This window comes from Homo sapiens, chromosome 5 (genome assembly GCF_000001405.40).
Source record: "Homo sapiens chromosome 5, GRCh38.p14 Primary Assembly".
NCBI classification, from domain to species: Eukaryota; Metazoa; Chordata; class Mammalia; order Primates; family Hominidae; genus Homo; species Homo sapiens.
The window spans coordinates 128,867,213-128,880,736 of record NC_000005.10 but is presented as its reverse complement, the minus strand read 5'-3'; the positions used below and the strand labels follow the sequence as shown (position 1 = coordinate 128,880,736).

Here is a 13,524-nt window from a genome sequence, read left to right as displayed (position 1 = left end):
CTCCTGAGCTAAGCCCCAATTTGAGGCTTGCCTACCTTGCATCAACAGTAGCCTCTGCCTCCACCCATCATCTGTCTTGACCACATTTGCCAAACATACTTCTGCATTTGTAGCACCATTTCAGAGACTGGTAATACCAGCTCCTTATTGCTTAAATTGGATACTGAGACAAATGCTTGACTTCGGTCTTTTCTTCTATATCTATAAAAGGCACTGCATTTCCTCACCTTTACCTCATGTTAATATTTCTAGGATTCCTTAATTTCTCATCATTCCCACTGACTCTATTTTAGTTGAGACAATTATCTCCTCTTGCTAGAATATAGAAGAATCTTTGACTGACTTCTCCAGCCACATCTCTTAATAGTTGGAATTTTCAACCCCTTCTTCCTCTTATTCCATATTCTTCAATGATGTTGACTGTCTTCACTGCTACCTTCTATCATACAAGGTTATATATTATCATCACTCTGATCCCTGGACTTTGTGAATTTTGCTTTTTTGTTGTTGTTTGGACAACTGTCTCCACCCCACCATTACTCCTTCTTGTCTTCTATTTGTGCTGCAATGTGGGGCTCAGCAATCAGCCTTTTTGACTCTTCTCGCAACCAGAGGTTTGATAAGTGTCCCTCCTCTGTCCATTTTCAGTTAAAAGAAAATTTCTTTTTTTAAATCAAGCATGTTTTAATGAACACAGTATAGTTTTATTCTGTTAAAATATATTTTCCAACAGACTTTATGAATTAATGAAAAATAATATTCATCCCTTTTTTTGTTTAGCTTTTGTGCTCCAGAAGTCAGGGATGCTGAGATTAAGTTAAAGGAGTGAAGTTGCTGTTACCACAGCACTTTCCTAAGGCAATGTAGTAGATGGAGTCTCATGGCTTGCCTCACAACAGATCATTCTTGGGACTTGATTACAGACTTGTAATAAAGTCTGCAATTTTGCATCCTATCCTGCTACTATCCACAAGAGAATGTGGATCATTTAACTCATTAGAATATAAGCACTTAAGGCCAAGCGTGGTGGCTTACGCCTGTAATCCCAGAATTTTGGGAAGTCAAGGCAGGTGGATTGCTTGAGCACAGGAGTTCAGGACCAGCCTGGGCAACATGGTGAAACTCTGTCTCTACAAAAATTACAAAAATTAGCCGGGGATGGTGGCACACACCTGTACCCAGCTGTTCAGGAGGTTGAGAGAGGAGAATTGATTGAACCCAGGAGGTTGAGGCTGTAGTGAGCCTTGATTGCACCAGTGCATTCCAGCCCGGGTGAAAGAGTAAGACCTTGTCTCAAAAGAAAAAGATAAAAAAGAAAAAAGAAAGAAATTTAAGCCCTTAGTGCTTACACTTGTTTTCTCTCAACCAAAAGGTCTCAGGGCTAATATTTGTTCTATAATTCTGGCATATGGCTCACTACAGAACATCATTTTTTTCCTTATAGGGGTTTCTGTCATTACCTCAAACTGTAGTTATTCAAAAATACTTGTGGATTAAAGAAGAGGCAAGTGAGTTTAGCAAATTTGAATTATTTCACCTAAAAGGAAAAGTAATCAATTTTCCAAAGCCCCTGCAAAAGCAGGACATAGATAAAGTCTAAAAGTTGTCAAGGTTGAATCTCATACCTGTGAGCACTTCCCAAGCTGTGCCCTATTCGAAGCTTCCTGACTCTTAGGTATCTTGGGTTCCTGCATCTCTCTGCTTACCTTAAGGAAAGTATAACATTAGCACGTTCAAGTTAATGTAAAGAATTAATTTAGCTTTAAATAGAATCCTTCTTCCACTTGCATTTGGAGGTTGGAAAACCTTGACTAGAAGAAATAAGTCTTGGGAGAAGCACACTTGGGGTAGGAGGACATTCAAAACCTCTCAAACCTTAATTGTCTACAGGTAAGTCACACTCTTCATCTGAGGGATGAAGGATTAGTTTAGAAACTGCTAGTACACTATGTGCTCTATTATATGGCATGTGTTAATAATTCATATTAATCAAAGATTTAAGTCAACAAAACTGATATATTAATAAATTATAATATTTATAGTAGGTGGAACTAAAACAAAATAAAACATACTTTACTAAATCATCACTAATTATTTTTAATCTTGTTTTATTTTGAAGGTACTTTAGGGTCTTGTAAAACTTCAGGATTCTCATTAATGAAAAATTTTTGCTGTTGTGATCTAATAAATTTGTATTAGCTAGTACAAAAATTGAGTTCATTTCTTAGTAATTCTACCAGAGATATGGATTGTTGTTTGCCTTTTCCAAACTTCCTTATAACAGCTGATGGAGAGCACCTTGTTTGTGCCTGTAAGATATACTCTCTTAGATGAGAAAATTAGAGTACATTGAGCTTCTTGGATGTGTAGATTCACGTTTTTTGTCAAATTTGAGGCGTTTTAAGTCATTATTTCTTCTGCTCAATTCTGTCTTCTGGTACTTTCATTTTGCATATGTTTGTGCACCTAAAAGTGTCCCACGTTTCTCTGGGGTTGTTTTTTGTTTTGTTTTGTTTTGTTTTTATCTTTTTTCCTCTCTGTTCTTCAGGTTGCATATTTTCTAGTGATCTAATTCAAGTTCACTCATTCTTTATTCTTTATTCACTCATTCAATTCTACTGTTGAATCTCTTCAGTGCATTTTTTATTTTACTAGACTCTGGAATTATTTTATTTCTTAACTCCATTTGGTTCTTTTTCATAATTTCTATAACTGGTATTCTCTATTATGAGACCTTGTCAACGTATCTTCCTTTACATCTTTAAGCATGGTTGCCTTTGGTTTTTTGAACATATTTATCCAACATCTGGTTGCTCTCACAGACAGTCTTGTTGTCTGCTATTTTTTTCCCCATGTATAGGTCAGACTTTTCTCTCTTTTTTTGAGGTGGGGTTATGTCTTGGGAATTTTTGCTGGAAAAAAGACATCTCAGTAATACATTATAGCAAATGCACCGCCCCACCACTGTATCTGGGCCTTGCTATTGTTGTTTGCCTATTTGTTTAGTGATTGGCTGGATTCCTTTAGCGAAGTCTATCCCCTGCATCGCCACAGTGAAACCTCTACTGTTGCTCCTAAAGGGAGCAGCCTTGGGAAGGCATGGTCACTCTGGGATGACAGTGGTTTGGCAGGGCTTTCTTTGACTGTGTCTTTCTCTAGCCACAACCAGCTATTAAGACCCATTAATTACAATTGATTGCTCTATTGTTTTCAACAATGCCCTGTGGCATAAATTGTTCAGCGGATGGTCTAATTAAATTCAAATTTCTTTGTAGGGATAGTTTTTGAGGTAAGTGTTTCAGATTTGGTCCAACCTCAAGTCAGCTCTTAACTGTCTTAACTCTTCTTAACTTTCACTAATTTTCTCTGGTAAACTAGCTGGTCTGTGGTTTAACTTATATTCCTAATATATTGGTCAGTCTCCTCTTAATCGCTTTTTACCACAACAACCATTACTTTGTAGAGTACCCTTCAGGCTTGAACTTTCTCACATTCTATTGCAAATGAAGTCAGTGGCTTTAGGGAGAGCGTTTTATGACCTGTCTTTCTCCCTGGGCAAAATCTCTTATCCTCTCTGAAGCTCAGGGCAGAGAAAGTGACAACTTGTTTTGAGTGACGCCCCTGCTTTAGGATCTGGCATTTAGCAGGGAGGTAGGGATTGAGTACAGTAGGCTCAGGTCTCAGCTTGCCCCTCCTGGCTTAGAACCTCTACATTAGGAGCCAGGACAGGGATGAGAGGGCTCCAGTGTTTGCAACTGTCCCAGGTAAACCTTATGTCTCATCAGTGGAGGTTAGTTGGAAAAAAAAGAGCCCCCAACTGTTGGCTATACTTGCTTAAAACTTAGCCTCTGTAACTTGTATCTGGGAGCAGTATGAGAAATGCTGATATTCTTCCCCTCCTTGGAAGATAGCATAGACTTCTGTTTGGGAGGTAGGGGAAGAGAAAGCCCTGTGTTCTTGGCAGTGGCCATCTGGAGTGCAGTTCCATCATGTCAAGCTGGGATGGTGGGAAGGAAGAAGCAGGTTGTCATTCAAATGAAACACTCTCACTGTTTTCTTTCACCAGGGTGTAGTAGGCTTTCTTGAATAACTGTGTCTTCATTTGCTAAATGCCCTTGGAATCATTTCTAAAAGCTTAATTAAAATGGTTGAGGTTTAAAAAAGTTTTTTTCCACCAGTTTCACTGGGAAGTGGGAACACTGAGTTTTCACATTGATGCCAGGGAAGTGAAATATTCTTATGCGTTTATTTTTAGTTAATGAACATATCTAGCCCAGATGATTAGACTCAAAATCATCAGCACATCAAATTCCTTTCAGAAGTTTGAAATTGGGAAGCCAAGGTCCTGCAGCAATTATTAGGAAGGGCAGATGCCAAAATATTACATAATGAATTTTCATCAGGCAAATAGGACCTGGTCAATTAAAATGGTTTACAACAAACTGAAGTGAATGAAAAAGTAAAGATAATGGGATAATTGTTAGAATAAAAAATCACATGCGAAGAAGAGAGACAGGGTGAGGGAACATGGGGCTGCCTTAATGCCAGTTCCATTTCTTATGCAGTCAGGCTCTACTCTGCTTCCCATGTTGGAGCCTTGAAATCCCTGTAATCCTGTTATATTTGTACAATACAACTACTCTACCAATAAAAAGACTAAATGAAAGCAAGAATTCTCTATGTAGTAACAAAGCCTCCCGTTTCATTTTCTCTGTTCTCTTACTTACTTATCTAAGCAACACATTGGAGTAGAATAAAAGCTTAAAAGTCCTAAAGGTAAAATAATTAAAGAAATGCCTCTTTTGAAAAAAAAAATGAAGTTCAAATAACCTGGAAAACGTTCTGATATTATAAAACCTAATTATGCTGGGTAAAACGTAATAAAAATATTTGTTTTTTTAAATTGTAGTAACATGTACACAACATAAAATTAACCATTCTTAAGTGTGCAGTTCAGTGCTATTAAATACATTCATATTAGCATGAAACCATGACCACTGTTCAGCTCCAGAACTTTTCCAGCTTCCAAAGCAGAAACTTCACACCCAATAAACAAAAACTTCCACCTCTTTCCTCTCCCTAGCCCCTGACAACACCATTCAACTTTCTGTCTCTATGAATTGAATTACTCTAATACTTCACATAATTGAAACCATTTGTTCTTTTGTGACTGGCTTGTTTCACTTAGCATGTTTTGAAGGTTTATCTATGTTATAGCATGTGTCATAATTTCTTTCCTTTTAAAGACTGAATAATATTCCAACGTATGTACATGTCACCTTTAGTCTATCCATTCATCCACTGATGGACACTTGGATTGCTTTCACCTTTTGGCTATTGTGAATAATGCTTCTATAAACATTTGTGAACAAATATCTACTCAAATCCCTGTTTTCAATTCTTTTGGGTATATACTGTGATAATGTGTTCTTTCATTGCTATAAAGAAAGAACCTGAGGCTGGATAATTTGTAAAGAAAGAAGTTAATTTTGGCTCATGGTTCTTCAGGCTGTACAAGAAGCATAGTGGCTGCATCTGCTCCTGGTGAGGCCTCAGGAAGTTTCCAGTCATAGCAGAAGGCAAAGAGGGAAGCCGGTGTATCACACAGCAAGAGTGAGAACAAGAGAGTGAGGGAGGAGGTGTCAGGCTCTTTTAAACAACCAGATCTCACATGAACTCACAAAGCAAGAATTCATTCATTACCACCATGAAGTCATTCATGAGGGATCTGCCCCCATGACCAAAATGGCTCCCACCAGGCCCCACCCCCAACATGGAAGATTACATTTCAACATGAGATTTGGAGGAGACAAACATCGAAACTATATCATATACCCAGAAGTGAAATTTCTGGATCATATAGTAAATGTATGTTTAATTTTTTAGGAACTTCCATACTGTTTTCTGTAGTGGCTACAGCATTTTACATTCCGACCAGCAATGCCCAAGGATTCCAATTTCCTCACATCTTTACCAACATTTATTATTTGTGATTTTTGGTAATGGTCATCCTAATGAAAATATGTAACAAACATACATTTAAATCCATATCTGCTCACTCAGGAAAATAAGGGAACCTCCCTAAGAAGAAATACAAAGGAGGCAAAAGCCAAGGTGGCAAACTATGGAAGGGTCTTAGGTTTTTAACTGTCATCAGGGCATAAGAGACAAATGTTGAGATTATGCAAGATGAGGAACTGACTAAAATGCCTGGATAAAGCCACAACCATCAAAGAGCTACACCCTTTGTGAAGAAGTCTAAGGACAAAAATCATCTACTAGTTTATGGAGATGAGCAGAGAAAGCTTGTCCTTTTTGGCCTAGGCTCCAAGTGAAAAGATCTCCTCTAAGAATTTGTAACCAGAGGTGTGCTCTTAAGCATATTTCGCATCAAATGCATGCTCCTGTATGGTCTGGGAATACAGAAGCATAATAGCATGAAAGCAGTCAGGCCATCCAGTCTAGGAATGCTCTTGGCAGAAGAAAGCATAAAATAACTCCAGGGACTCACACCCTTAATTCATGCCACATGAAGTTTCCTTAAATAAAGTTCTCCCTTCTTTCTAACATAAGCATAATAGCCCCAAATGATAAGACATGGGGTATGTAAAGTGTCATGGTCAAGCCATTAAATATAAGAAATAGCACACTTACACTTCAAAGTAGACTGCAGAATCATCAATAAGTAGTAACATTAAAGTGTTAATGCTGTTTAAATAAATGAAAATAAATGAAAAAAATATGATACCTTCAAAATGTATCAGGCTGATTTGAAAAAACTTTAATAGAATTTCTACAAAATAAAAAAGAAAGTATGTCACTAAAATTAAGTAATCAAAGGAGTTGTTAATATACAATATTAGACACAACAGAGAACAGATATAATAGACTCAATTATAATTCTAAAGTAACTGCCCATAATGCAGAATATATAAAATAAAATGTGGAAAACATAAAAAAGTAATTAAAAGACATGGGGGGAAAATGAGAAAGGCCAATATACCTTTTGTTTGAGTCTTAAGAAGAAGCACAGGTGATAAATGAAAAGCAATATTGACAAATAATGGCTAAGGATTTTCTGGAGTAATGTAAGACATGGATCATCACGCTCACAAAATACACTAAATCACAAGCGAGGTAAATATGAACAAATCCATGCCTAAACACATGATAATTAAACCAGAATATGCTACAGATATAAAATCTTAATAACAGCCATAAAGAAAAAGACAGTCTAAAATTTAAAAAAAAGGTTGGAAGTAGAAGAGGAATAATAACCCAAAGTGCTAAAGAAAAATAATTGTCAAGCTAGATTTTATACCAAAATTTTTAAAACTACCTTTCAAGAAGCAGGATACAATTAAGAACATATTTTTAAAAAACAATATTGAGAATGTTTTTCACCAAAAGATCTTCACCTGCAAATTTCTAAATTCTCCCTGAAAGGAAAAGCTAAGGAAGAAGTAATGATAAGCAAAGGAATTGATAAATTTGTGGTTTTATGTATACAAGTAATTATTATAAAAACTATAAGACTAACAGATAAATTGGTTCAGGAACTAACTTAATGTGGACAAACTTCAAAGCTAAAATACTGTTCTAAGATACTGTTCAGAAAGTATAAAGTTATTGATTTGCTTTTGACTTTCTCAATTATACATAAGTGAAAATTTAAAAACAAATATAAAAAAGAAAACTAAAATATTTAGCTTCTAAATCAATAAAACATAGTAAAGAATAAGAAAATATTGATCAATTCTAACAAGATTTTAAATGGAGAAAATGTTAAGTATAAAAATAGCAAGATAAGTGGAAAGCACAAAATGTGATAGTAGAAAAAAACAAATACGTGTGATTAAGCTAAATTGAAGAACTATCTATTCTAGAAATAGACTTAAAACACATCACTGAAGGTTAAAAGTTTTTTAAAAAGCCACACACATAAGTAAACAAAAGTCTCCATAGCCTTATTAATTGACAGTAAGGCAAGAGGCTGTATCTGTCATGTTTTTTGACAGGTGGTATGTACATATTACCTTTTTAACTTCTTGCATGGCTAACATACTTCCCAATAACAAACGATGATAAGGAAAATGGCCTAGGGTTCAGAGTTAGGAAACAGTCTAAGGGCACCTAGAGGAGCCTCAGTAGCTAATAATATAATAAGAATTTTGCTTATGGAACTTAAAATGTTACTGGTGGATTTATATAATGATGTGTGTAACATGCTAAGAAAACTGTCCACTGTGAGCTGTGAATCAGTAATGAAAAAAGCACAAGAGTGTCATTTTGGCAAAGACCCAAGGGACTTTTTGCTTTTATCTCTCCAGGCTCTCCAGATTTTATTTCACTTGAACAAAGATCAAGTTTTCGATGTTATGGTAACTGTGAGGATGCCCAGGTAATCACTATGGACTTTTCTGTCACCTGGTACAAATTTTGAATAAAGAAGGCAGGGCTTTGCTTTGGCAAGCATTTGTAATTTGATGTCACCACAGAAATGACAGAACACACATACATGCACATACACACACGTGTTATTTCCTGCAAATGCTGCGAGACTGCAGGGAACAGTAGGGGCAGGGAGGACAAGGTGTAGGGAAATGAAGATGAGTAGGATGCCAAGGAAAAAACAATCCGGCTTTTTATTAGATAATGAAAGGCAGGAAGGGTTGGAGATTGAGAAAGGAAGGGACAGATGGACAGACAGGGAGGGAAAGAGAAAGGAAAAGGAAGAGGACGAAGGAAAATGAAGAAGAGAGAATGGAAGAGAAGTGGAGATGAGAGGAGGAGAGGGCAGGGGAGGGAGGAGCAAGAGCTAAGTGTCAGTCTCTCTTAGCAGTCCATATAGGGTTGCTGCTTTATACCCAAGAATAAGACAGGACTTCTAAACTTTGTGAAGATGGACAGTATCCTAAAGTCTGCCAAACCAAGACAAATCCACATAAACAAACAAGTCTAGTGCTGGTATTCCATGATGCATGTCTTCTCTAGGTAACATTACATGCACTACCTATACACTGATTTTCTTTATAATATAGTAATATTATTAGCTAAGTGTTTTCTGTATACATATCTATACCTCCCAATAGGGTAAGTATTGCTTTTATCTCCATTTTACAGATGGGGTCACAAAGGCAGAGTGAGCTGAAATAACTTGACTGAGGCCATGAAAGTAATGAGAGGTGGAGCTAGTATCTGAACCTAAGCAATCTGATCCGGTTCCTATCTCTTATTCTGGATGATAAACTCCCTCTCAACCTCAGAAAGGCAAGTGTGAGAGCTCACTGCAAACATGAAAGCAGGACAAAGGACTGGGACCTTTGCAGAGATCCCAGAAATCTCTTTTGCAAAGTGATCATTCTCCATTCTCTGGGCAGTGTCAGTGTGGTTTTTATGGGTCCTATAGAAGGGGGGAAGAGGTGGGTGCACACCCTTTCTGCCCTGTAGTTTCTCCACTTGCAACAAAGTTAAGGTGATAGGAATAAAACACTGAACTCAAAGACAGAACTATGTTTTAAGTCTGGCCCAGCCCACTACTGTGTGATCCCGAGTGAGCAAGAAGAAAAATACAGGGCACTGCAATGTATGAAGCTCTTTCCAGGCACGTCTCATTTACTACTCCTCAAAACCACAGGCCAGGGCTATCTCTCCTTTTAATAGCGCAGTAAAATTAATTGCAGAGGAGTTTAGCAAATAAGTGCAATGCCATTCTCTGATGGAACTCTCCTTTGTTCCCAATTTTGTGTGATTCCAAGTTCCATTTAGATTCCATCACATCTTGCAAAAGTTCCTGTCTCTCTATGGGTCTAAAATTCCTCAATTAAATCATACCGGTTGGCATAGAGGACGTGTGAAGTGTCAGTTCTCAGACTTTAAGACACTCATCTCAGAACAAGCCCAGCAACTCAACTCAGGACCCCTGGGCTGAAGACTGAGCTCTCCTGTGTCATTGAAGAAGTGGAGTTCGGTGCTGATCACGCACGAGGGCAGTTAATGAAAATTAAAAATTTATATTTGACTTGAGATGCTCTCTGGGTAATTTTGCAGGAGTTTTTGTCTCCTGGTCGTTTTTCTTAGATTAAAATTTTTGCCAGCATTCCAAGGGCATACACTCACTCATGTGCAGGGGCCCAGTAATGAGAGGGAGCGCCACTTTGGAGTCAAACTCTGCCAAGGCTAATACTAAAAGTAGGTGAATGAGATTTGACTGCCTCCTAAATTGAATGTCTGTGGAATTTCTTGGACCTAAAACAGAGCCCAGAACAAGGTCTGTATAGTAACATTCACTAAGAGTCAGTGTTTGACAAACTGTCTTGCCAGCATCATTAGTGGAATGTTCATTTTGGCACAAATTGTCTATGGAAAATGCAATTAGGAAAAAGTTGTGCAAGTAGCAATTAGAAAGTGAATAACTTGCCTTATTTCTTTTATTCAGATTACCCTTGGCTACTTAGCTGAAATAAAGCTCAGTTGGAAATCGCTTGCAGACCATCACAGTAGCCTCTGGAATGCATTGTCTGCATAAACAGTGGGAAGAGAAGGCAAGGGTTTTCTTTGGTGCTTGCCTGCTTCCTCTTTCTGACAATCTGTTACCTTTTCCTGGACCCTGCCTAGTGGCTGTATTGGCCATTAAGCCCATACCTCCCTCCTTGGCCACAGGCTAATACCAGTGCAGGGAGAGGAAAACCCCTTCCAAAGAGTGGCATTTTAACATGTATTCAGCCTCAACAAACATTGAGCTGCTCTATAATGGAGAGGTACAATGTACCAGTCAGTGTTCCAGGTGCAATAGAAACAATAGTAAACTAAATAGACAAAAATCCCTAACTTTCTGGTGAGGGGAGACAGAAAATTAACAGAAAAGTAAAATACATAGTGTGCTAGGTAGTCATAAATGTTATGAAAGATAATAAAGAAGAGAAGGAGAGAGTGAATTCCTGGTGTGAAAAGTAGTTGCAAATTAATTATGGTGGAAGACATCCCTGAGTAGGTGGCACATAAACAAAAATCTGAAAGAGGGGAGGAAGTAGTACCCATCTCAAGAAAGGGCATCCAGGCAGAGGAACTGGCAAGAGCAAAATTCTGGAGGGATGAATGCCCTTAGTAGGGTCAAGAAAGAAGCAAAGTCAGCGTAAGCTGGAGACTAGGAGGAAATGAGATCCGAGAAGTAAAGGGCAGTGGATGGGCACACAGTGTAGTAGGCCTTTGGGCCATTGTAAGGATAGGCATTTACTGTAGGAAACTTTGGAGCATTTTGAGCATGAGAGTGAGTATGACCTGCCTTAGGCATAAAATATGACTTTGTGGAGGGCATTCTCCAGGGGTATGAAGGGAGAAACAAAGAGACCAATTAGGACTCTATTATAATAATTCAGGTAGGTGGTGAGATTGAAGTGCTAAGAAATGAAAAGATTCAGGATATATTTTTAAGGTGTAATGTAGGAGTACTTGCTGGTAGATTGCTTCTGGGATTTGGGAAAAGAGGAGAGTCAAGGATATTTCAAAAGATTTTGACTTAAGCAACTGGCATTGACATTTCCTGAGATGGAAAGGACTTAGGGGTAGAAGAGAATAGTGTGGTGGGGGAAAGAGAACAGTTTAGTTCTGACTTGTCAATTTTCATATGCCTCTTAGATATCCAAAAGAATATATTGAGTAGGCAATTTGATATACAATTGTAGAGCTCAGGGAAATGGCCTGGGTTGGGAATATGAATTTGGGAATTATAAGTGTATAGGTGAAATTTAAAACCCTGAGATGGAACAAAATCACCAACGAAGGGAATGTAGACAAAGAAGAGATGAGGTGCAAGGACTGAGTCCTGGAACACTTTACCATTTAGAAGCTGGGCAAAGGAACCAGCAAAAGAAGCTGAAAACAAATAATCAGGGGAGCAGGGGCAAGACGTGGAATATGTGGTGTCCTGGAAACCCAGGGAAAAGAGTGCTCAGAGAGGAGGGAGTGATCAAAAACCAGGAAACGAGCAATGGGGGTGGAGGGAGTGAGTCAAAAGAGTATTTCTAGACCCTAAGTTGGTTATCTTCTAGTGTAGTCCTTTCATTATGTTTAGAGTCAGCCTATGTTAGCTATGTGAGACACTGTTAACCTTTGCTTAATGTTGCTTCTTTCCTGACTGGTCAGCTTTAGGAACTTTCACCCTTCATCCTTCACCTTAGCCATTCTTACATGGCTGCATGTAAGAATTATTACATGGCTACATGCCCAGTGTGCACACACACATACAGAGAGTTATTTCTGGGAATCAGGGGTTGGGCTCACCTGTGCTTCTAAGCAAGCCCTTGGTCACCATAACGTGCCCTCTTCTGTCTTCCATAGGGATGTCTGTCACTGTTTCACCTAGACCCACAGATGAGCCTTTAATGTGTTAAAAGTCCTCAAGGTATTAAAGACAAAACTTAACACACAAGGAGGGAGATGTAATATTATCATGGTTAAGCATTTGATTTCATTTGATTATCTTTTAAAATTTATTTTTATTGTTTTTAGGTATAATTTTACTTTTTAATGAAAAATAATAATTGTACATATTCATGAGGCATATAGTGATGTTTTAATATATATAATGTATAGTGATGAGATCAGGGTAATTAACATATCTATCATCTCAAATTTTTATTATTTCTTTGTATTGGGAACATTCACTATCCTCCTTCCAGCTACTTGAAACTATGTTTTGTTGTTGACTGCTGTCATCCTACAGTGGCATAGAACACTAAACATTGTTACTTCTCCAAAACCATGCTAAGACTAAGCCAAATGTTTTGTTTTACTTCTTCCTCTTTTTTATCTTTTTGTAATACGACCAAATTTTGAGTAAATATCTTGAAAAGATTATGCTAAAGATATAAGTAATTTAATTCAGTTAAAGATAAATATGCCACAGGAGCCAATTTGGAAGAGTTCTTAACGGTCAAAAATAGAACAATTTGAACAAGAAATAAATAACAAAAGTAATAGATTGTAACCCGTAGGGTAAAATAAATATCTGTAAGTCCATACTAATAGAAATCAACAGTTGAATAAATAAAGCAATGCTGTTTTTTGTTATATAAGTAGCCTGAGAAACAAATATGTTTTTACCTTTTTCATGTAACATTTGTTTAGAAGATCTAACTATATTGATATATAGATTTGGCTCACCATTTCTAATGGATGCACAGTATTTTACCAGTTCAATTATTTCTTACCTTCGAGATAAGCACCTAGGTTTTCTTCAACTTCCCACTAGTATAAATCCTACTGTAAAAAAATCCTTGAACATGACTGTTATTATGGAACTATATGAGAATATTTCTCTGGAATATGTATACAAGAGGAGAAAATCTAGAACATAGAACAAATGCATATTTAATTTCACTAAGCACTACTGCATTAGTCTGTTTTCACACTGTTGCTAAAGACATACCTGAGACTGGGAAGAAAAAGAGGGTTAATGGACTTAAAGTTTCACATGGCTGGCAAGGCTTCAGAATCATGGGGGAAGGCAAGGAGGAGCAAGTC

General features: G+C 37.5%; 1 long non-coding RNA gene across 1 annotated transcript in view, besides 1 other annotated feature; it reads right to left on the bottom strand.

Annotated features, from left to right (window-relative positions):
- The window catches only part of LOC105379168 (uncharacterized), a 273,909-nt gene that overhangs the window by 55,029 nt on the left and 205,356 nt on the right, over positions 1-13,524 (bottom strand). The gene's annotated exons all lie outside the window — the stretch shown is intronic.
- Positions 10,265-10,819: an enhancer, noted in NCBI's record as "OCT4-NANOG hESC enhancer chr5:128205611-128206165 (GRCh37/hg19 assembly coordinates)". NCBI's record gives its function as "activates a minimal SCP1, AML or CMV promoter by ChIP-STARR-seq in naive H9 embryonic stem cells {active_cell/tissue: H9 hESC(naive)}" and the evidence as "EXISTENCE:reporter gene assay evidence [ECO:0000049][PMID:30033119]".